Source organism: Homo sapiens, chromosome 1 (assembly GCF_000001405.40).
Source record: "Homo sapiens chromosome 1, GRCh38.p14 Primary Assembly".
Taxonomy (NCBI): Eukaryota; Metazoa; Chordata; class Mammalia; order Primates; family Hominidae; genus Homo; species Homo sapiens.
This window is the reverse complement of record NC_000001.11, coordinates 146485779-146510942: the sequence shown is the minus strand read 5'-3', so window position 1 is coordinate 146510942 and position 25164 is coordinate 146485779. Positions and strand designations below refer to the sequence as shown.

At 41.2% G+C, this 25164-nt stretch overlaps 1 pseudogene across 1 annotated transcript in view; it reads right to left on the bottom strand.

Annotated features, from left to right (window-relative positions):
- The window catches only part of HYDIN2 (HYDIN axonemal central pair apparatus protein 2 (pseudogene)), a 335703-nt pseudogene extending 311092 nt beyond the window's left edge, over positions 1-24611 (bottom strand). The window contains exons 1-3 of the transcript NR_103556.2: positions 24169-24611; positions 5531-5612; positions 4054-4181 (exon numbers count right to left, since the gene is read on the bottom strand). The product of NR_103556.2 is annotated as an HYDIN axonemal central pair apparatus protein 2 (pseudogene) (transcript). The remainder of the gene's footprint in view (positions 1-4053; positions 4182-5530; positions 5613-24168) is intronic.
- Positions 24612-25164: the final 553 nt, after the last annotated feature.

Genomic DNA, 25164 nt, shown 5'->3' with positions numbered 1-25164 from the left:
CTCAATGCCTAGGAGCTTGACTCTGCTTTACTTCTGCCCTTTCGATTCTCTGTGAAATGAACAGGACTTATGTAATTGCTTTCAGCAGCATCTTTGAATTACAATTACATAATAAGACACACACCAGGATGTGTGTAATTGTGTAATAACAGCATGCCTCACTGTGCTAGGTTGGTGGCCAATAACCACTTAGTCATGCTATTATATTATAAGAACATATGCCCTCAAGGCATGTTGAAATTATTCTGGGGATCTCTAAAGGAAAGCTGACTGATCAAAAGAGAACCCCAACTTAAAAAGCTATAAAATAAATAATTTTTAAAAATCTGATAGTAATCCCAACAAGAAACAAAAAAATTACACCTACCCTAAAAACAAACAAACAAAAAACCTGTAGTGTAAAATCAAAATCAAAGTGTTGTGTAATGATTCACTTACGTCACCACAGGATTTAAGATGACAGAGTGTTAATAAGGAAAAAACAAGAAGCTGGCCAGAAGTCAGGTGTCGTGATGCCCTCTTCATAGTTGGTCAGCGTGAAGACTACAGAGGAGTTATGTCTCAACCCAGAAAGTTCTAGCTTCTTTGGAGCCTACTCCTTCCCAAGAAAATGACACCCCAAAGGCTCTATAAACTTTCCACACTTTGAACTTTTGTGTTGTTCTCATAGTCATCAGATCAAAAAATAATCTCAGAAATGTGAGATCAGACTTTTGCAGTTGAATCTCCCCAATGATATTTTCCTTACAGTGAAAGTATGTGCTAGGATAAATTGCCCACACTTTATTCTTACAGCACAAGATACGTATATGTTATATATATAGTATGTGTACATACGTTTCAATACCTAATTTTTCTGTATATGCAAACTACATTTCCATCTCTTCCACTCTTCTAACTCATTTGGCAGGAAAAAAACCTCATGCAACAAAAATAAGGCAGTATGAGATGAGGGGAGAGGTGGGAGAGATACTTTTGCAATTTATAAAATATTAGTTTGTCACTTCTTAGATAAGGCTGTATCAATACAAGTTATAATATCGAGGTAAACATAAATGTATATGTGTAATATACTTGTAATTCACAATTGATGTTTTGTTTTTTCCTTATGCAATTAGAACCTTAAAATATAGAAGTTTTGATCATTACTGTAATGGGCTGAATTATATCTCCCCTCTCCCCTAGATTCATATGTTGAAGTCCTAACGCCCAGTGCCTGAGAATATAACTGTATGAGGAGATAAAGTCTTTAAAGAAGTAATAAATTAAGAGGAGGTTATTCAGGTGGGCCCTAATCCAATATGACTGGTGATATGGTTTGGCTGTATATCCACCCAAATCTCATCTTGAATTGTAGCTCCCATAATTCCCACATGTTGTGGGAGGGACCTGGTGAGAGATAATTGAATTATGGAGGTGGTTTACCTCATACCATTCTTTTTTGTTTTGTTTTGTTTTTTTGAGATGGAGTCTCACTCTGCCTCCCAGGCTGGACTGCAGTGGTGCAATCTTAGCTGGCTGCAACCTCCACCTCCCGGGTTCAAGCAATTCTCCTGCCTCAGCCTCCCAAGTAGCAGGGATTACATGCACGTGCCACCACACCCAGGTAATTTTTGTGTTTTTGTAGAGATGGAGTTCCACTATGTTGGCCAGGCTGGTCTTGAACTCCTGACCTCAAGTGATCCACACGTCTCTACCTCCCAAAATGTTGGGATTATAGGCATGAACCACCATGCCTGGCCCTCATACTGTTCTTGTGGTAGTGAATAAGTCTCACAGGATTTGATAGTTTTATAAGGGGAAACCCCTTTTGCTTGGCTCTCATTATCTTCTCTTGCCTGCTGCCATCCATGTAAGACATGACTTTGCTCTTCCTTGCGCTCTGACATGATTTGAGGCCTCCCCAGCCATGTGGAACTGTGAGTCCATTGAACCTCTTTCCTTTATAAATTACCCAGTCTCAGGTATGTCGTTATTAGCAGTGTGAGAACAGACTAATACAACTGATGTCCTTATAAGAAGAGGAAATTTGGACACAAACATGTACAAAGGGAAGACTGTGAAGACCCAGGTGGAAGATGGCCATCCACAAGCCAAGGGGAAATGCCCCAGAGGAAACCAAACCTGCAGACACCTTGATCTTGGACTTCTAGCCTCCAAAGTTGTGAGGAAATAAATGTTGTTTAAGCCACCTAGTCTGTCGTAGTTTGTTATGGCAGTATACATTTATTACATTATTATATCAACTGCACATTTATTACATCAACAAACTTTTTTTTAAACAATGCTGAGTATAAGTAATGAGAATATAATGGAGAGGAAAACAAGGTCCATGTTGTTTTAGGGCTTATAGTCCACCAAAAAATAATTTTGACAGGACATGCATAGGAAAGGCAGCAAATATAGTTGTGGGTTTTAATCCATTACGTATGTGGCATTTCCAAAATACCATATGTAAGCTGATTTTAAATATTTTCAGTGATCTTAAAGGACATCAACTGAGTATTTCAGTCACCTTAACAACCAAAAGTATTCAATGATTCAACAAATGACCTGCAACTAATGACTCAATCTAAACCCAATCTAAACCTCCATTGAGTTAAATTTGAGGAAGTACCTACAAAATTATTGTTACCTCTCTGCAGGGTGCTGGACTGGCTCTCACCCACTTCAATTATGCACATCTCTTCCCAACTTCATGTTCAGTCATACCAGATGAGTTGTTTGAAATCAGCACCCTTCACACTGCCCACTGAAGGCTCCACTTCAAGTCTGCCCTCCTCTGGAGCCTTTTGTTAAATCTTTGCCAGCACACCATTCGTCAGGGTGCACCCCCATCAACAAGACAGCTTAAAGACATTTAGAAAGCAAAACCATGACAGAAAATGTCAAAGGGGAAGAGAGGAATATACAAATATGGAAATAAAATAATAAAGTGGAAGATTCTGATGTATTAAGCCAGAGCAGCAGTTCTCAAATGTTATGGCCTATATCCAAATCACCCAGAGATGTAGGGTGGGGCCAGGGAATTGAATTTCTAACAAGTTTCCTGGCTATCCCACTGCACTGGACCATCGGTATGGCTTTTTCTCCTAACACCAGTTCGTCTCCTGTGCTTACCACCTGGTTGAGGAGGGGTGGAAGTGCATGGCAGGTGTGGCTAATGCCATTGGATTGGCAGCTCTTGGTAAAGGAAATCGATGGCCATGTATAAACAATGTTTAAGCTGAAGTCCAGTGAAATGGTCCCTGGGGACCCACAAGCTGCTCACAGCCAGGAAGGCAGCACTGCCCAATGTTGCCCCCACCATGGAAGAAAAAGCATGCCAAACACCTTCATCTAGCCCTGAAGGTATTTTCACTAGGCCTATGTAGAAGGTAGTTTGGCTAAAACAGCTTCAGTTGGCATATGCAGAAAGACACAATCTTAGAGCCACAGTGAATTATTTGTTTGGAAGGCAGGACCCTATTAAGACACTGGATGTTGCCTTATCCATATCTGGATCACCACAATGCAAACCATGCCCCTGGAGACAGAAATCTACAAGCCACAAAGACAGGGAGAAAGCTAACATGACATTACTGGGAAGGTGAGCATACAGTAATTAGATCTCACAAAATAAGGATGATAGAAGAATTCCATTGTGTTCACATTTCTTACCCTCTGTAATGTTGAAGATCTGAAATTTGGTTGTAAATACATTGGTAACTTTTTTGTCCAAATTACATTCCCAAGAAACAGATAAAAACTGAACACAGGTTGAAGTTTGGCTGTTTTATAAGTATGCAGTTACTGAAAGCACTGGTGATAACACTGTCAGAAGTGAAAAATTATAGATGATTAATAAGAAATCGTTGAAAGAAATGGTTCTTGCCAAACAAAACATCAATGAGATTGAAAACAATTTTCATTGACAAAACATGTGCCTGTTGGGCATTCCAGAGGAGTGTGATGAGAATAAATTTGACTGAACCTTTAAAAGAGTTTTTACTTGTTGGGTCAGATCTTTCTGCTAAATCCCTCAGTGTCAAAATGCTGTTTTGCCTTTCCTACCTGCTCTGGGCATACTCCGTCACAAACTACGTTGTGTGAATCTGAGGACTGCTTTAGAAATGAGTTCCCAAATTGCTCAAGAAATAGTTCAGGCTGTAATTCTGAAAAGCCTTCTGCTCACTCAGGTCCTGTGGGGGGAGTTTAGCCAATAAAGGAAAGAAAGAAAGAAAGAAAGAAAGAAATTAAACTCTTTCAAAAGCAAACTTTGGAACCATGACAAACATGGAAGCCATGTGTATACCATGCTGTCAGCATTTCCTGAAGAAGCTGTGTGTGGGCTTCAGGGAGGGCTCTGGGATGATAATCTGGAAATGATGAAGAATTCTTTTATGTATTTTATTGTAGTACAGGTCTAATAAAAGCTAAGTATTATAAATGTTAATGGTGCATTAATTGTAAGTTAAAACAATAATTTGATACTATTTTTCCAACCACAAATTGGCAAAAAAATTTAAAAGTGGTAATGAAATAGGAAAATGGGTGAACACTCAAATACAGTTTGTGGAAATATAAATTGATAGAACCTTTTTCAGGGACAACTTGGCAGTATCTATCAAGATTCCAAATATACCTATCCTATGAGGAAGCAGAATGCATATGAGTTAAGGACAGACTGGATTCAGAGATCCTGGATTCCAATCCTGGCTCTACCAATTAGAACCATGAGATCTCAAACAAGTTGCTTAACCTCTCTGAGCCTAAGTTTATCATCTGCAAAACTGAGATAATAATAGTATCTATAACTCATGGGGTTGTCATGGGAATTTTAAAAGTTGATATTTGTAAAGTGTTTACACTGGTGCCTGGCATATAGGAAGTGCCTAGAACCCTAATTCAAGGAAAACATTCTATAAAACTTCTAGCCAAATGTCTAAGTTCAATACAACATGGTTTCTCACAACATATAAATGGAAACTAACTCTAGAGGTCCAACACTGAGAAAATATGCAAATAAATGCTAGTTCATCAGCGTGATTGAATAGTTTATAGCCCTTTAAAGAATAAGGTAGGCTGGGCGCGGTGGCTCACGCCTGTAATCCCAACACTGTGAGGCCGAGGCGGGTGGATCATGAGGTCAGGAGATTGAGACCATCCTGGCTAACACGGTGAAACCCTGTCTCTACTAAAAAATAGAAAAAATTAGCCGGGTGTGGTGGAGGGCGTCTGTAGTCCCAGCTACTTGTGAGGCTGAGGTGAGGCAGGAGAATGGCGTGAACCTGGGAGGCAGAGCTTGCAGTGAGCCAAGATTGTGCCACTGCACTCCAGCCTGGGTGACAAAGTGAGACTCCGTCTCAAAAAAAAAAAAAAAAAAAAAAAAGAGTGAGGTACAGCTCTGTGTACCCCAAGAACAACGTATTGCTGAGTACAAAAACAAATTGTAAAACAGCATGTTCAGTAGAATCTCATTATTATAAAAGTGAAGTTTGTGTGTGTGTGTGTGTGTATGTGTACCTGAAAAGATATATACCATACTTACCAGTGATCACCTCTGAGGAGTGAGATTAGAGCAGCGAAGAGACTTCCAATTCTTACTTTATACACTTCTGTATTGTTTGAACCTTTGAAAATGAACATAAATTACTTTTTAATTAAAAAAGCTTTTAAATCACTAGTCTGAGCATAGTTTAGATTTAAATAATTATTCTTTCTCTCTCTCTTTTTTTTTTTAAAGATTCAGATTCATAGCCATGCGATGAATGCTACTGTTATCATTGACATAGATGACCAGCCCGGAAATAAGATTGTATGAATAGTCCATTTAGTTAAATGTTTCGGCCACTTAGATCTATGTGAATGTGAGCATAAAATGTGGAAACACTTAGGAAATAAGCTTTCATTGTATAGTATAATAGGGGGTAATGAGATTTGGTCAATCTGTCAGAGATTTAAACCTACCCGATCCTAAAGAAAAATAGGCCTAAAATATTTCAAATGTGAGGTTATATTAAAAGCCACAGTTTCAAACTGTGAAGCTAAAGAAATCAGTTGTTTCAGTTTATTGTCTCAGGGAAAGCACAGTGTAATACCTGAAGGACTTGAAAGAGAACCAAAAGGAGGGGTAGCATTCCCAGCAGCTAGCACTTTCATCCAATGCCAGGGCTTTCATTGGCCAAATTATTTTCAAAGATACTGCCTGACCGAAGCACTTCTGCAATAAAAGTATCTCTGTGTTAGTCAATGGAATGGGGGAATGTTAAAATTGAAAGAGGCCTTTGAGACCAGCTAGGTCAGTGTCCACATTTCACAGAAGAGGACACTGAGTTCTGGAAAGATCACGGGACTTCGTAACAAAAACAAACTACAGCTCAGGTCAACTGACCATCAGTATAGTATGCCTTCTAATACACTACTGTCCTCGCACTTTTTGTATTTTAATGTAATGGTTTTAAAATGCACATGGGAAAAATAAATATAAACTATAATATAGAACACAAAAGCTCCCAGAGAAGAGTTTACTTCCTATTCTTGTACTCCAAGTCCCAGTTCCTCTCCTCAGATATGACCACTATGCTCCTCAGATATGACCACTGTGCTTTTTGTTTTGTTTTGGTTTTGGTTTTTGAGACGAGTTTCACTCTGTTGCCTAGGCTGGAGTGCAGTGGTGTGATCGTGGCTCACTGCAGCCTCAACTTCCTGGACTCAAGCGATCCTCCCAGGTCAGCCTCCTGCATAGTTGGGAGTACAGGTGTGCACCACTACGCCCAGCTAATTTTTTGTATATTTTTGTAGAGACAGGATTTCACCATGTTGCCCAGGCTGGTCTTGAACTCCTGGGCTCAAGTGATCTACCCACTTCGGCCTCCCGAAGTGCTGGGATTATACCTGTGAGCCACTGTGCCCAGCCTATAACTACTGTCAGCAGTTCCTCTGATAGTCTTTCAGAGATGCTCTATGAACTTCTAAGCAAGTGTATATATGTGTGCATGCATGTGTGCAGCATATTATATATACAGTTGACCCTTGAACAACATGGGTTTGAACTATGTGGGTCCACCTATACATGGATTCTTTTCCACCTCTGCCACCCACAAGACAACAAGACCAACCCCTCCTCTTCCTCCTCCTCCTCAGCCTATTCAATGTAAAGATGATGAGGATGAAAACCTTTATGATGATCCACTTCCACTTAATGAATAGTAAATGTATTTTCTCTTCCTTATGGTTTCTTAATAACATGTTAACTTACTTTAAGAATATTGTATATAACACATATAACACACAAAATATGTATGTGTTAATTGACCGTGTATGTTATCAGTAAGGCTTCCAATCCACAGTAGGCTATTGATTTTTAAGTTCTGAGGGAGTCAAAAGTCATATGCAAATTTGCAACTGTGTTGAGGGGGTAGGTGCCCCTAACGACCAATTGTTCAAGGGTCAACTGTCCTATCAAGCTTCTTGTTTATTTCTTTGTTTTCACTTGAATATATCATGCAAATTATTCCTTATCAATACATGTTAATCTTCTCTCATTCTTTTTAATGGCTGCACATTATTTCATTACATTATAATATATTACAATTTATTTCATCAGTCCCATCTCAATAGATATTTAGACCTTTTTGTCTTTTGTATTACAAACATGCTGTTATCAATAAAAAGTACTCATATACACATCTTTAAGCACCTGTCCAAGTATGTGTGGAGTATACATCAGATAAATTATTAGATGTGGAATTTAGCCAAAGAGTATATTTAATTTTGATAAGCAATGCCAAATTTTTCTCCAAAAAGGTATATTAATTTACACTTCTACAAAGAAAATATAGTCATTATTTAAGTTTTATTTGTGATTTTTTTCTTCACTTATTAAATGATAAGTTCCTTGAAGAAAGAAACCATAGCTTCTACAACTTGATTCCAATGCCCATGGCCACACATATCATCATTCTTTAACAAAGATTGAATGACCAAAACTGTGCTAAAGACTGAAATACAAAAATAGATATATATTATTTCCTATAGTGGTAGACTAGTTATCTCAGAGTAACCCCTCTGCTGAGAAAAAGTAAAATGAAATTGGGAAATATATTTTTTGAAAACCCACACCTTCCAAAAGCACCAAATAGTTAATCAAATAAGAAACTGCCCAGTCAAAATCTAGAAAAAATGAAGCCCCTATATTAAAATCTGTTTGGCCCTAATGAGATTTGCTTATCTCGAAGAAATAACTGTGAAACTGCATTTGCTTAGGGCAGGTGGGGGTCTTTCAGGGCAGAGGAAACAAGACTTAAAGCTCAGGGTCCACCTTAGCTTAAGACTCAGATAAACCACCTGCCACTGTAAGGTAGAACCTAGCAAGGTTATCACTTCAGGGTAAGGGTAAACCAGAATTAAACCAGTCCTTCAAAAGACTTGCAGCCTAGCTTCTCATCATTTGGCTCTTTTAGGGAACCTGAAGCCTCAAACTTAGATTAAGATAGTCCTGCATCAGTAGCACCTCTAGAATCGTGGCAGAAACAAATTAAAATACTCTCTTGTAAGAGGCACTATCATCTTATGTCTCAAAGTATTCCTAAAATACATTGAATAGCACACAAAGAAAACAAAATGCATAGGAAACAAGGTACCATGAGCAAGAACCAGTTAAAACAAGAAGATAGTAGAAACAGACCAACAAAGACTGTTTGTCATATATTGGGATTATTAGATACCAACTATAAAACAACTATGCCTACCAAGCCTTAAAAAAGAAAAAAAAAAGGAAAAGAAAGAAAGAAAAGAAAAGCTTCAAAATTTCAGAAAGACACTGAGGGGGAAAAGTGACATAATTTTGAAAAGGGGAAATATAATGACAAATTATGAATTAATTGAGTGAGTTTAAGGGCATATTAGACATAGCTGAAGAAAGAATTATTGAACAGAAAAATAAGTCAGAATAAACTTTCCATATTACAGCACAAAGAGACAAAAACATAGAAAATATAGCAGAGAGGATGAGAGGGAGGACATCTTGAAAAAGTCTAACATATATTTAATTGCAGTTTTACAAGAGAGAGAAATGGAGCAAAGACAATATTTAAATTTTTATGGTTAAATGACTGAGAATTTTGGAGGACTGACTCATAGAACTTAAGAATTCCATGCAGGATAAAGAAAAAAGAAATCTACACCAAGATTCACCCTGAGATATTGCAGAAAACAAAAGAAAAAGTGAAAAAATCTTTATAGCATCCAGAAAAAAAAATTTTAAGTTTCTAAAGCACAAAAATAAAAACCAAAGGAAAAATGGGAATATATTCTCCATGTTCTTATAGAAAATAAAAACTATTATAGAACTTTATAGCCAGCAGAATATTCTTCAACCATGAAAGTAAAATATAGGCATTTTCAGACAAACAAGAATTGAGAGAATTCACAACCAACTGACTTAGGCTAAAGGGTCAGAGACACAGAAAGGATTAAGAATTTTAAAAATGGTAAATATATGGGTAAACATAAATATTGACCTTAAAAGCTGTAATATGCATGTCTTACAGAGTGTTAAAATATACAGAATTAAAATGTATAGCAACTCCATGTTGCCAGCTAGAAACTAGGGAGAAAGGGAAGTTTTGTTAAATTATTCTAAGGTCCTGACCTCTTGACTTCAGGTAATCCACCCACCTCACCCCCATCTCTACTAAAAATACAAAAATTAGCTGGGTGTGGTGGTGCACACCTGTAATCCCAGCTACTCGGGAAGCTGAGGCAGGAGAGTCGCTTGAACCTAGTAGGTGGAGGTTGCCATGAGCCGAGATAGCACCATTGCACTCCAGCCTGGGGGATAAGAGCAAATCTCCATCACAAAAAAAAAAAAAAAAAAATTATTCTAAGGTCCTTATACTCATTCCAGAAGGACAGTAAATGTACTGATTAACATTAGACTTTAGGCCAGGCATGGTAGCTCACACCTGTAAACCCAGCACTTTGGGAGGCCAGGGTGGGAGGATTGCTTGAGCCTAGAAGTCTGAGACCAGCCTGGGCAATATAGCGAGACCTCGTTGCTACAAAAAATAAACAAACAAAACTAGCCAGGTGTGGTGGTATGTGCCTGTAGTCGCAGCTACTGGGGAGGCTGAGGTGGGAGGATCGTTTAAGCTGGGGAAGTTGAGGATGTAGTGAGCTGTGATTGCATCACTGCACCCCAGTCTGGGCCACAAAGTGAGACCCTGTCTTTAAATTAAAAAGAAAAAAAAGACTTTGCTAAGGAAAGGGTGACTATTGTGTGATTTCTAGAGCCAGAGAGCCACTGCTCAAAGAATAGAAAAAGAGTACATTATTTTCATATCAACAGAAAAGGAAAAAAATAGATGGTAAGAAAAAATAATCATTTCAAAAGAAAGGCAAGAAAGGTGAGAAAAAGAAACATAGATCTGGTGGACCAAACAAAAGCACAAAATAAGATGGTTGTTTCTTGGCCAGGTGTGGTGGCTCACGCCTGTAATCCCAGCACTCTGGGAGGCCCAGGTGAGCAGATCACTTGAGGCCAGGAATCAAGACCATCATGGCCAACACAGGGAAACCCTGTCTCTACTAAAAATACAAAAAATTAGCTGCGGCTGGGCACAGTGGGAGGCCAAGGCAGGCAGATCACTTGAGGTCAGGTGTTCAAGACCAACCTGGCCAACATGGTGAAACCCCATCTCTACTGGGTCGTGTTCATTCTTACTCTCTGTCCCACTCAATATCTCCTCCTGGAGCCCCTGGGGCTGCCAGGTGCTTATCTGTCAGGCGATGCCCCCAGCTGAGGAATAAGGGACCCATGTCCTCAGGAGGAAGGAGGGTCACTTGAGGTAACGAGCACTTTCTGGGTCCGTGGAGAGGACACATGGAAGACGCTCAGTGAGTGTCGGGGGATGCGTAGTCCCTGACACATGCCCTGATAACTTCGAGTATTTAAACTGATTTCTTCCCACTGATGTCTCTTTTGCTTCTCCATGGATTCCCACATCCCCAGTCAGGACTCACCCACCTGGCTCCAACACTCTCACCTGCTGGCTTTCCCAGGAGTCCAGAGCACTAACCAGGCTCCAGGCAGGAGGAAAGAATGAATGCCTTTTGTTTCATTCTCTAGTGACTTCTCCCTGCTGTCTACTAGGGCATTTGTTTCTCACCATGTCTTCTCTCTCTCAATAGTCTTATTTTTCCAAAATTTTTTCCAATTTCAATGGGCTAGATTGTAATGTTAGTGATTATAATGTTAATTCAACACCTTCCACATCCCTATGTAATAATTTCTTCCAATAGATTTTTATATATAAATATATGCATTTATGTCACTGTTATATACATTATGCATATTTGCATGTATTTTTAATAAAATGTAGATATATGCAATGTACCTATCTGTATGATCATTTCATCAATATCCCATGTTTAGTCTTCCCAATTCTTTTCTCTCATATGTTCATTTAACGTTGATTTTGCTTGATTTTTAGAATCTCCTCCCTCCCAAAACACAGCCTGTATCCAGTGTGATTTCCTTGCCTTTGTCTTATCTACTTGGAAGCTATTTGGGTTTATTAATCCTAAATTTTTTGAATATGTTTGTCAGTTGGGATCACCTTTTCCTCCTGGCAATCTTGTCATTACTGGGTGATGCATGAAAAATCAACAATACAGAAAGTACCCAAATGTCTTTCTTGGCTTCCCTTTACCCCTTGGATTTTCTTGTTCAAGGCCGCTTTCCTTCTCTGATGATCCTCTTGGGTGGAAGAGAAAGTCACAGTAAGATCATGGATGACAGTGAACGCTGTTGGGTGTGGTTTCATTTTCAGAGCTGGGTTTAGAGACTTCCCTTGGAATGAAGAACCCTCCCCAGCTGGAAGGTGATGCTATTGAAGGCTCAGCTGACAACACACATGGGCATCAAGTCACTGGCCACATTCATGCCTCAAGTGTCCTAAAACCGAAGATGACCAAAAGAAAGCTCCCATTCAGCAAGTGGAGACTGGCCTGCAGATTCCCTGGCCTGCAAGCTTAGAGTACGAAGGTAATCACATCTATGGCTCTTAGCTGCACTCACTCCTTATTTCTCTCTGTCTGTGATGACAGCTCCTTCTCCCACTGCTTTTTTCTTCTGTATTTGTTCTCTCCAGCAGCTGCTGTCACGTCTGCCTGGTCTAACCTCTGTGTCCCATGGGCTGCCACCCTGCCAGGCCCTTCTGGTCCTCATCACCTGTTTGCTCTCTGAACTCTGCTCTGTTCCCACTGCTGCTGTCCTGAGAGTCCTTCTCACAGCTGCAGGAGAGCCCAGCCTCCTTGTCTCCCTCCAAGTGCATGGTGTGAGCTGCTAAACACAGGGTTCTTTGCCTGGAATTGCACGGCTTGAGTAATTTGCCTTTCCTTCCTGCATCCCAAACTCCATTGCCCCTTTCTGCTGGGAGCATTGCTTTAATACGTCATTTATACACAGATTTTTCTCTTGGGACAGCTTTTGAGCAACACAACTAAGTCAAACTTTAACCCTCACCTTGTACATGGGAATGAGAAGTGTTAAAAATGAGCACTAAGAACCCCAAATCAAAAACTAAATTAGAACCTGGGTCACAGAAGAGAGTTCCCTACTAGCCTGGAGTCAGGTGTGTCTTCAGCTCCAGATGGGCAAACTTATGCCAACGTGGATGAAGTTTCCAGGGACTGTGCCTGCTCCTCATGGAGTCACTTAGCTGACATTAACTGGAGAACATTTATGACATTCCAAAGGAACCTCAGCCGAAGGTAGATGCAGAGGGCAGGGCAGGACTTTGAACCTGCATAGACCACGAGGTACATTCTCACCTCTCTCCTTTTTATTCACATATCTACTTCTACAAGCTCAGTTAGAATCTAAAACACAACTCAGGTGAATCTTGAGGACAGAGAAATACGAGAGCATTTAATGAATTAACTTTGAGAAAAGTGAGTCCAGGGGTCAGCTTTATGTCTACATAAGATGATAGACAAGAACCTATCTACAGGACAGACTTTGCCTCAGACAAGCCCAAGTGAGAGATTTAACCGAAATTGTCAGAAGAAAGACTAAAATCCATACAGCCACAGAGAATGAAGGCAATCACGAGAGAAATGAGGATAGGAAAGAAAATGATGGGAAATCAGGTTGGTTCATTCATTGTCTCTAAATCCTGCTACCATGTAATAAGCACCTGGTGAGATTTCAATAAACATGAATGCCTTGAACTGACATCTTGAGATTCTCACTTAAATGGTCTGGGGTGTGATGTGAGCATCAGTACCTTTAAAAAACTTCCATGATATTCTAATATACAACCGAAGATGACAAGGACCACTGGTCTACTCTGACCTCAGGTTTTCAACATGGAGATGACCACTTGTGTGGCTACTCCACACAAAAGGCTGAGCATCCATCAGACATTGATGGGATCTGTATTCACCTCTCAACAGTAGTATTTGTAGAATGTAGAAAAAAATAAAAAAGAAAAACAAGAAAATAGGTGGATTAGACCTATAGTCTCTCTACTTAAAGCACACTTGCTTAATTTTAAATACAAGTAAAATAAGAAATAGTCATTATATTGAAACCCAGTATACAGAAAACAATACCTCGTATATTACACATATTCAAATTTAGTATTTTCTGTTCAATTTTATTTTATTGTATTTTATGTTTTGTTTTATTTTATTTTATTTTTAAGACAGAGTCTCTCTCTGTCACCCAGGCTGGAGTGCAGTGGCGCAGTCTCGGCTCACTGCAACCTCCGTCTCGCAGCTTCAACAATTCTCATGCCTCAGCCTCCTGAGTAGCTGGGATTACAGGTGCATGCCACCACACTTGGTTAATTTTTGTATTTTTTTAGTAGAGGCATGGTTTCACCATGTTGGGAAGGCTGATTTCGAACTCCTGGCCTCAAGTGATCCATCCACCTTGGCTTCCCAAAGATCTGGGATTTAGGCATGAGCCGTCATGCCCACCTTTCTTTTCAATTTTAAAATAAATCCTGCAGTTTACATTTCCACACACTGATTCCAGAGCCCATGAATGGGTTCAGCACTGCAGTGTAAAAATTCTGCTTTGCTCAATTCTTTTCATTCAGCCAAATCCTCAAAGAGAACTCGTAGTTCTCACTCAACTAGAGAGAATATAATAATAAGTAAAAACTGAAACTCGGCCGGGCATGGTGGCTCATGCCTCTTAATTCCAACACTTTGGGAGGCCAAGGAGGGTGGATCATCTGAGGTCAGGAGTTCGAGACCAGTCTGACCAACATGGCGAAACCCTGTCTCCACTAAAAATACAAAAATTAGCCGGGCGTGATGGCACGTGCCTGTAATCCCAGCTACTTGGGAAGCTGAGGCAGGAGAATCGCTTGAGCCTGGAAGACAGAGGTTACAGTGAGCTGAGATCGCACCACTACACTCCAGCCTGGGTGACAGAGCAAGACTCTATCTAAAAAAAAAAAAGAAATAATAATAATAATAATAATAATAATAAAACTGAAACTCAGGAAGAGATGATATATGAATACTTTTTTATGCTACCCTTGACGCTGGCATAAAATACTAAAAAGAAATCTTTCCCAACAAACCACTTTGGGAAAAATATAACAGGGAGAGGAGAATGTAATAAAACACAAACTAATCCTTTTCACTTTCTACTTCAGAGTTTTGTCGATCAGATATTGAGAATATTTCTAGAAATGCCTTAAGGTGTAACCAGGTATGGAATCAACTTCAGGGAATTAGGGATAATAAGTTGGGCCATGGTTACAATCACCACCCTTCCTTTGTAATTCCATTTGACTCTTTCCTTTTCCTTTTTTTCTGATCCTTTTTGGAAGAACACATAATATTTCTTTTGTCTTTTCTCATTTTTAATTTTACCGACAAAACAAGTAGCAGTGACATCATATTTCTTTGTAAAAGCTCATTCCTATCCTAGCCAAGGTGACCCAGCAACCTCTAGTGACTGTCAAGAACTCCAGATTGGAGAATTGACTCTCCCTTCTCTCCAACTTATTGAAAGGGACTTCGTGCGTGGGTTCTAGTTTCAGGGTTGTCAATAGCAAGTCATGTGGCTTTAGTTAAGTCAGCCCTGTGGCATCACTGCTCCTCTGTTGTAAAAGGCAGAACTGGATGTGGATGTGGTCTGAGGTCCTTCCTGTATCTCACCTCCAGGGTTCTTCCCATGGCCCTGCACACCCTTCCCTAAGAGACGGGGACATGGAGCTGTAAGGGAGTGGGTTTCTCTGTAAAAGGTCCTTTCCTTCTGCAGCCCTCTGTTTCTGAGCTTTCATGGTTGATGCTGAGAAAATCCTCACTGAGGGGTGTGAAAAGCCATCACTCTGCTCCAGACAGAAGGAATCAGGAGGAAAGGGGCTGATGTCACCGGCTGCTGGTTGGGCAGAGCTAGGGTCCCTATATCCTTCACCTCAGCTGACTGGAAGTTCAGGGGCATTTACTTTTCACTTGTGGATGGCACTTGCCTCTTCACTCAGCCTTCGGCTCAGCCTTCAGCTCATCCTCCTAGCAGGAGCTCAGTTTGCCCCTGGGCTATCACCACTTAGCAGTCCCTCTAGACTCAGCCATCAGCAGGACCTGACAAAGATGCCCATTTGATCTTTCCTTCTCTCTCTCCTACAGATACTAAATGCTGCTGGAACAATGAAAAGAAAGAAAGGATATCACAAAAAGCATTTTCGTTTGATGAAAAAAACTAAAAGAGCAAAGCAATTGAAAGCTCAACACAACACAGGAGGGATCCATGGCTGAGGATTGTATTTCAGAACCACTGACTGCTCTTGACAATTGTTAACCCACAATTTTGGTTAGAGAAGCCACAGTCCTTCAGCCTCCACTTGATATCAACACTTAGGAAGACCAAAGCCAGATGGACAAACAGCATTGAGAGGCTTTAGCCCTGCTCCTCTCACTTCCATCCTGTAGACAACAGGGAATTTGCCGGTGCAGAATATGAACAATGCCATGTTCTTGCTAAAAATGCTTAGCCTGAGTTTCATAGGAGGTAATCACCAGACAACTGCAGAATGTAGAACACTGAGCAGGACAACTGACCTGTCTCCTTCACACGGTCCATGTCACCACGAATCACACAACAAAAAGGAGAAGAGACATTTTGGGTTCAAAAAAAGTAAAAACATAATGTAGCTACATTTCTTTAGTTATTTTGAACCGAAAGTATCTCCTCATCTTTTTGTTGTTGTCATGGATGGTGGTGACATGGACTTGTTTGTAGAGGACAGGTCAGCTGTCTGGCTCAATGTTCTACATTCTGAAGTTGTCTGAAAATGTCCTCATGATTAAATTCAGCCTAAACGTTTTGCCAGGAACACTGCAGAGTCACTACTGAGAGTTTCCTACCTCAGCCCATCTGCAGGCAGAGAAGGTCCAGTTTGTCCATCACCATTATCGTGATACTAGGACTGTCACTTGGTTAAGGAGGAATCTAGAAGACCTGTCCCTTTTAGAGACACCTTACTTATAATGAAGTATTTGGGAAAGTGGTTTTCAAGAGTATAAATGTCCTGTATTCTAATGATCATCCTCTAAACATTTTATCATTTATTAATCATCCCTGCCTGTGTCTATTATTATATTCATATCTCTACACTGGAAATTTTCTATTTCAGTTTTTACTATATCCTTGTTTTTGCTAGTTTCTGTTGTTGAAAAAAAAATTTCCTGCCTGGGTTTTAATTTTTGTCCACAGTTAACTTTAATCCATACAACTAAAATTTTTTGTCTATCACTTTGGACTGGTGAATTGTTTTTTTACATTCAGTGTTATAATCTTTTATTATGTTGATTGGTTTTGGCAGGTAATGATACGAATTAATAAAAACATTTTTATTTCCGAGTTTATTTTCTAAACACTTCCACATTGTAGGCTATGTTTACCATATGTTGTAGATTGTATTTACTACATTTCTTTGTTCTAGTTATTTGTATTCTCTGATAGTGTGTGTGTTTGTCTGTGTATGCCTTTGGCATTTAGGAAGGGTTGTATAGGTCAAGTTTAATATTGCACTAAAATGTTCTTGATAGTTTTTTCCCCTTTGAACTAGACACACTTCTAATATTTGGTTTATACGTTTTAAATTATAATTTTCTTTTTTCTTTTTCTTTTTTTTTGAGATGGAGTCTCGCTCTGTGGCCCAGGCTGGAGTGCAGTGGTGTGATCTCGGCTCACTGCAAGCTCCGCCTCCCAGGTTCACGCCATTCTGCCTAAGCCTCCAGAGTAGCTGTGACTACAGGTGCCAGCCACCGCACACGGCTAATTTTTTGTATTTTTAGTAGAGACGGGGTTTCACCATGGTCTGGATCTCCTGACCTCGTGATCTGCCTGCCACGGCCTCCCAAAGTGCTGGATTACAGGCGTGAGCCATCGCCCCTGGCCTAAATTATAATTTTCAACATCAAATATTTCCATATGACAATTACATGATTTGTTTTCTTTTTCCTATCTTCTTTACCTGCCACTTCTCATAATAGAAGATAGAGATGAAGATGGAGAGGAGAGAGAGAGAGAGAAGAGAGACAGAGAGAGAGAGAGAGATTGAGACTGATTTTAAGGAATTGGCTCATATAATTGTGGAAGCTTGGTGAGACCAAATCTGATGAGATAGGCGAGTAGGCTGGAGACTCAGGGGAGAGAGTTGCAGTTCAAGTCTAAGGGGAATCTGCTGGCAGAATTCCTCCTTGTTAGGGGGAGGTCAGGTTTTATACTATTAAGGCCTTCACCTGACTAGATGAGGCCAACTCACACTATGGAGTGTCATCTGCTTTACTCAAAGTCGGCTGATTTCAATGTCTCATTTCATCAAAAAACACTTTCACAGAAACGTCAGAATAATATTTGACCAAATATCTGGGCACCATGGCCCAGCCAAATTTACACATGCAATTAAGCATCCAACATATAATATTGAAAGTGTAGAAAATCAAAGACAAAAGAACATCTTGAGAGAAGCTGGAGAAAGAAAACACCTTACCTTAGAAGAACAAGGATGAGTACTACATTAGACTTCTCTTCATAAACCATGCAAGCAAGAACAGCATGCAGCTGACATATTTAGTATTGGAGGAAAAAGAACTCTGTTAACCTAGAATTCTTTAGAATTACCCTTCAAACGTGAAGGAGAAATAAAAGACTTTCTTGACAAACAAAAATTGAGGGAATTTGTCACCAGTAATTTTGTCTTCCATGAAAGGTTAAAAGAAGTTCTTCAGAAAGAAGAAAAAAACCACAAAGTTTAAAGACATATCTACATGAAGGAAGCAAGTTAGAGGAGGAATAAATGAAGTTAAAAATAAAATATTTTATTATGTTTATTCTTAATTCATATAACCGTCTGTCAAAATAAGAAAAACAGCAATAATTGATTGGATGATTATATGTTATTAATACATCAAATGAATGAGAGTAATGTTTTAAAAGGTGGTAAGAAAGGAATTAGGAATTTTGTTTTTAAGGTACCTGCATGACCCATGAAGCATCATAACATTACTTTAAGTTGACTTAGATTATTTGTAAGTATATATGGCAAGCAATAGGGTGAAAACAAAAACACAATTTTTCTTTTAAGAAATGGAATTTGTATTGTAAGAGAGAAGAAAAAAATGGGATCATATAACATGTTCAATTATAGCCAGAGAAGGTAGAAAAAGAGTAAAAGACACAAAAGGAAACAATGAAGAAAGTCAAAAAATAGAAACAGTTACACATATGGTACATATTAATCCAATGATATCAATAGTCACTTTAAATGTGAATGGTCCAAGTACACCAACTAAAAGACAGAGACTGGCAGAATGGAAAATGAGGTCCAACTATATGTCATCTACAACGAACCTACTTTAAATAAGAAGACACAGAGATATTAGAAGTGAAGAGATGGAGAAAGATATATCATACCCATCGTAATCAAAAGAAAATTGGAGTAGCAGCTGGGCACTGTGGCTCACACTTGTAATCCCAGCACTTTGGGAAGCCAAGGCAGGTGGATCACTTGAGGTCAGAAGTTCAAGACCAGCCTGACCAACATGGTGAAACTCCATCTCTTCTAAAAATACAAAATTAGCCGGTCATGGTGGCGCATGCCTTTAATGCCAGCTACTTGGGAGGCTGAGGCAGGAGAATCGCTTGAACCTGGGAGACGGATGTTGCAGTGAGCTGAGATTGCGCCATTGTACTCCAGCCTGGGCAACAAGAGCGAAACTCAGTCAAAACAAAAAACAAAACAAAAACAAAAGCAAACAAACCAACAAAAAAACAAAAAAACTACAGTAGCCACATTAATTTGAGACAGAGCTGACTTCAGAGGGAGGAAAATCATGGGGATAAAGAGAGTCTTTATATAATATAAAGAGGTCACTTCTCCAAGAAGATATGACAATCCTTAAATGATATGCACCTAAAGCATCTAAATATCAGGGGCAAAAGCTGATAGAACTTCAAGGACAAATAGACAGATTCACTATTACAGTGGGAGGCTTCAGCATCAGTAACTGACAGATCAGAAGGCAGGAAATCAATAAAGATGTAGTGAAACTGGACACCACCATCAGTCACCTGGATCCAACCGACTTTTTAGATTACTTCATCCAACAAGAGCAGAATACATATTCTTTTTAGGGTCACATGGAGTGTTCACCAAGATCCACCACATTCTGGCCCATAAAACACACTTCAACATATTTAATGGGATAGAAATCATACCAAATATGCCCTCCATTCAAATTATGGAACTGAAGTAGAAATCAACAACAGATAGCTGCAAAATCCCAAAACTGGAGATCAGACAATACACTTCCAGTAACACATGGGTCAAGAAAAAGTCTCAGGGCAAATTACATATTTTGAGCTAAATGAAAATAAACATACAACTTATAAAAAATTTCTGGGTGCAGGAAAATTGGTGCTTAGAAAGAAATTCATAGTATTCAATGCATATGGTAGCAAAGAAAAAGGATCTACAATCAATAATCTGAACTTACACTTTAGGAAACTCAAAAAACAAGAAAAAATTAAATCCAAAGTAAGTGGAAAGCAAGAGACAATAAAAATTAGAGGAGAAATCAAGGAAATTGAAAACCAGAAATCAATAGAGAAAAATCAACAAAAAGAAAATGTAGTTCTTTAAAATAATCAATAAAATTGATAAACATCCAGCTGGTGAACCAAGAAACAATGAGAGAAGATACAAATTACAAATAACAAAAAGAAAAGAAGGTCCTCACTACTGATCTCATGGATATTAAAAGGATAACAGATGAAGATTATCAACAATTCTCCGCTCACATATTTGATAACTTGATGAATTGGACCAAGTTCTTGAAAGACACAGTCTACCAAAACTCACACAAGGAGAAATATATAACCTAAACAGATCTCTATTTATTAATGAAATTGAATCAATGATTAACAACCTTCCAGAACAAAGCACCAGGTCTAGATGGTTTTACTACGAAACATTTAATGAAGAAATGATACCAATTATCTCTAGAAAATGGAAGCCGAAGGAACACGTCTTATCTCTGGTCTAGGAGGCACTTTACTAGCAAAACCAGACAAATGGTTTTGAACCAGGATATTGAAGTAGCCTGCACTGCTGACCAGCTCCTGAAACTCAGCCCTCGAAAAACTGTAGAAGCAAGAAGGAAACATGGCTTACGGGACCTGTGAAAAATGGTAAATCTCCCTTAGAGACCAAGGCGGTTTTGAACCGGTGTGTGTGGAAGGTTGATGTTCACAGGTAGGAGAGAGAGAACGACATAGAGAAAAGTATTTTCGGTTCTGCTCTTGCTTCTGACTCCCTTGCTATGGGCCAACTGCGGCTCTTACCCCTTCACGAAAGAGATTTGTCAGCGGCTGTTTATTTTTTGAGACGGAGTGTCGCTCTGTGGCCAGGCTGGAGTGCAGTGGTGCGATCTCGGCTCACTGCAACCTCCGCCTCCCGGGTTCCAGCGATTCTCCTTCCTCAGCCTCCCGAGTAGCTGGGACTACAGGCGCGCACCACCACGCCCAGCTAATTTTTTGTATTTTTGGTAGGGATGGGGTTTCACCATGTTGACCAGGATGGTCTGGATCTCCTGACCTTGTGATCCGCCCGCCTCGGCCTCCCAAAGTGCTGGGATTACAGGGGTGATCCACCACGCCCCGCCATCAGCGGATCTTAATCCACCAGTGAGGCAGCTGCGATGCGACTCCTGGACACATATAAGCTTCCCTGAGGAAAAGAGTAGATGAAAACAGGGGAGGACAAACCAGATGATCCCGGGGCTTTCCTTTTCCAGCTTTCCTCCGCAAATCTCCAGAGGTAATGATTGTCATGGCCTCTCCAGCACGATGCTTAAAGAGACGTATTACAAAGAATCCCCTAGATAGAAGATTTGCTTGGTGGAGTATAAAACAGGGGTAATCGAAATGAGTTTTGGGGACGTGCTGCTCTCCACTTGGGGCCCATCCTTCATTTTGCCGATACCACCAAAGACTGGGCCTTCCTCGACAGGAAGATCCGAGGTCCCTCTCTGCAGCTCCCCTCATCTGCGTGCGGGTTCCTTCCCACACGCCTCCCCTGTCCCTGGGCCCCCGTACCCACTGCCCCTTCCCCACTGCGTGTGTCTGTCCGACCCCACAGCTTCTCTCCTTTCTTGAGCCTCACTCCACCGCGATACGTGGTCTGTCCAAGGTCCAGTCAGTGAAATCAGTGTCCAGGTGACTGTGTATTTCAGGGATCCGCCAGAAGAGACAATAAACGTCCCGTCGGTTTTAGGGCCAAATATGCAAACGCAGAGACCAACCAGACACACTAGCTGCTTCAAAGACAGTCTCTGCGAAGTCCTTACTTAGAGAAATTCCACTCCAGAAGGAACTGGAAAGCTATACAGTAGTTCCCTTTTCCTTCTGTTTATTATTGCGGCTGTGACCTGCCTGAGTATACACAGTTATGGTAAATAAATGTAAAAACCGCATTGTGCGGAAACTGCACGCTGCACCAACCAGGAGTTGAACACGGATCTCGTGCATGGGAGGCAGGAATTCCACCACTAAACCACTGACGCCTCCTGCTAGCAAAAACTGCGGCCTTTACATGGAAAAAGGTAAGATCGGGACATGGGAAGAGGAGTCAAGATTTTTACCGTGTTCTCTTTGGAACATGTAATTAACAAAAAGGACACCCAGGGCAAAGGCTCACATTAGAGATTTGCATCAGGCAACACCAGAAAGTTATGGCTTCACATTAAAAGAGCTGATTTGAAAAAGACTTATTCTGAAATAGACTCTGTACAACTGGATAACAAACCTCTGTAAGAAAACACCAGAAATTCACTCAGTTTCTTGTCTCCGGTGCTGTATCCAACGTGAACCTGTGGAAAGTTCTTGCCTTGCTTCTTGATACCTTCTCTTTGCCTTCCCATCGCCTGGGGCCTTCCAAACCCTTTCCTCCCAACCTTGACACAAACATCAGTACTTTCCCCAAAAGGGCCTTCAGAACCCAGGGACCCTGGTTTGGAAAGCTGGACTCTTGGGATTGTGCCTGGGATAGTCCCGGAGACCTGGGTAATAATTGAGCTTCTCTCCTCATGTACCTATTTCAAATTCCTGGAAAATGCCACGGATCAGATCTTGCTTTTAACTTCTTATGCCTTACAGAGACCAAAACAAGAGCGAAGAAACGGACATTTCACTCCAAGATGTCTTCCCTTCACCTCGCCCTCGTCGGCCACCCAAGGAGGCCAGTTCAGGGAAAAACAATTCCATTCGATTCCATTCTATTCTAGTTAGATGCTAGGATATTACTCCTCTAGCTAATGTAAAGCGTTCTTTTGCCATTTCCCTTTGTCTGATATCCATGTTTTCATTCTCATTCTTTTGTTTACAATAAGCCTGGTACAGATTTGCACCACTCTTTTTTGTTGTTGTTGTTTGTTTTCTTTTCTTTTTAAATGTTTTATTTCCAATTTTTACTTTAATTTCAGGGGTACACGTGCAGGATGTGCAGGTTTGTTCCATAGATAAACCTGTGCCATGGTGGTTTGCTGCACAGATCATCCCACCACCCAGGTACTAATCCCAGCATCCATTAGCTCCTCTTTCTGATGCTCTCCCTCTTCCCAGCCCTACCCTCTGGCAGGCTCGAGTGTGTGTTGTCCCCACCCCCACTCTATCTGTCCATGTATTCTCATCATTCAGCTCCCACTTATAAGTGAGAACACAGAGGGTCATGATGATGCCACTCCTCCAAGGATTTCAGGCTTCCCAGACGCCTAGTTTTCAGTCTAGTTCTTCTGTGAGATCTTACACTTGGGGAGCTACACGTTCTCGCGTTTGGGGCTCTTTCAGGTTCTATCTCCATTTTCCCCTCAATTCCTCCCCATTCTGCTACAATAACAAAACAATTCTCACCTCCGGAAGATCCCGCCTCTGCCTCCGCACGAGCCTTTCAGGAGGTCTGAATGTCTGGTCCACCGCTCCCCGGCTTCTTTCCCCGCTTTTGCTTTTCCCTTCCCCCGCTCCCGCCCTCCCGCCTCACGACCCGACCACCGCCCAGCTGAGCCCCCGCGGCTCCACTGCGCAGAAGGTGCACTGGAGGCCCTGCCCGTTGCCCGCCCCGCGGGGTGCCGAGAAGTCAACCTGAATAAACGCCTTGTAAAAAGAACTTCCTAATGGAAAAAATATCTTATGATTTCCATTCTCAACGCTCTTCAGAGGACTAAAAGATAAAGGCCATGATGGATTCATTCAACAAGTCCTAATCCTGCGCCCTGGTGTGTGCCAGACCCTGCTCCCCGCGAGGGGATCCACGAGCGACCCTCACCACTATCCCTGCCCTGGTGGACCCTCCGTGCGGGACACAGCATCCGAAGATGGCAGCGGAAGCTCCTCAGCGCCCCGAAAGCGACTGGGCAGGGGGCACAGGCTCCCTCACTGGGTGAAGGCCGCACAAAGAACCGGAAGAGCCATCCGGGTAGCTCACCCGGCGTTCAGCTTCCCTTGGGCCCCCTGGCTGCTCGGGCCCGGATCGCGGACCGGGGCGTTTCCGGGGATTTCTGAAGCGGAGGAGGGGCAGGGCGGGCGAAGGCCATTCGGCTCTCCTTCTGGCTCCAGAATCTCCCAACCCGCAGGTGTGCAGTGTGACCAGCGCGACTCACCGCTCTAATCGCTCCGATTTTCCAAGGCCTTGCTCAGTAGTCCTGCCAGGCGGGCCCTGAGGCTGGAAGGGATGGGGGAGTTCGGTGAGTGCGCCCTGCCTACAGCGCCCAGTGGAATCGCTAGTACCTGTCTCTGTGGCGCAATCGGTCAGAGCGTTCGGCTATTAACCGAACGGTGAGTAGTTCAAGACCACCCAGGGACGCCTGTTCTAGCTTTTAAAGCATTCATGTATTATCATCACTAGAGAATCTCCCCCTATTCTTCCCATAGTCCTAAGTCCGAAAGGTTGGTTCCAGGCCAGCCAGGGATATGCCCATTTCAGGAAGGTTTTTCTCTTCTCAGGATTCTAGTCACAGTTAACAGGGATCCCTATCAAGAGCCACCCCACTCAGAGATCCAATTCTGACAGAGCATCTCCTGAAATGTCAGGTTGTCTTGTGCCTGAGTGCAAGAATCAGAGACCAAACAAGTCACTTCTGGTGCGATAAAATCCTCATGCCTGCCCCTTATAGGCTTGGATGGATTATAGACCAGCTTCCATTTTTTTCATTTTTAATAGGAGGCCTAGAGAGGTGTCCTATCCCCAGGATGGGCCTGGATTTAGTGATTGCTCAATCAATAATGTGACCAGTGGAATCATTGATCATCATAATAATCCTCTCCATCATTTTTGAAAACAGCATTTCCCCCTTCAGTTTGTACATGATTTACTTAACCCTTTTCAAAATGTGTTTGAAGAGATTGGCTTCATGATTTTAGTACTACAAAGAATCTTGAAACCATCATTCTTGTACATATATCTTTGACCACTGATATTTCTATAGTGTAGAGAACTAGAGGTGCCACTGCTACATTACAGGCTTTTTAATTTTTATTTTTAGTTTTTATGACAGGGTCTCATTCTGTCTCTCAGGCTGGAGCACAGTGGCCCAACCATGTCTCATGGCAGCCTCGTCTTCCCAGGCTCAAGTGATCCTCCCATCTCTCAGCCTTCC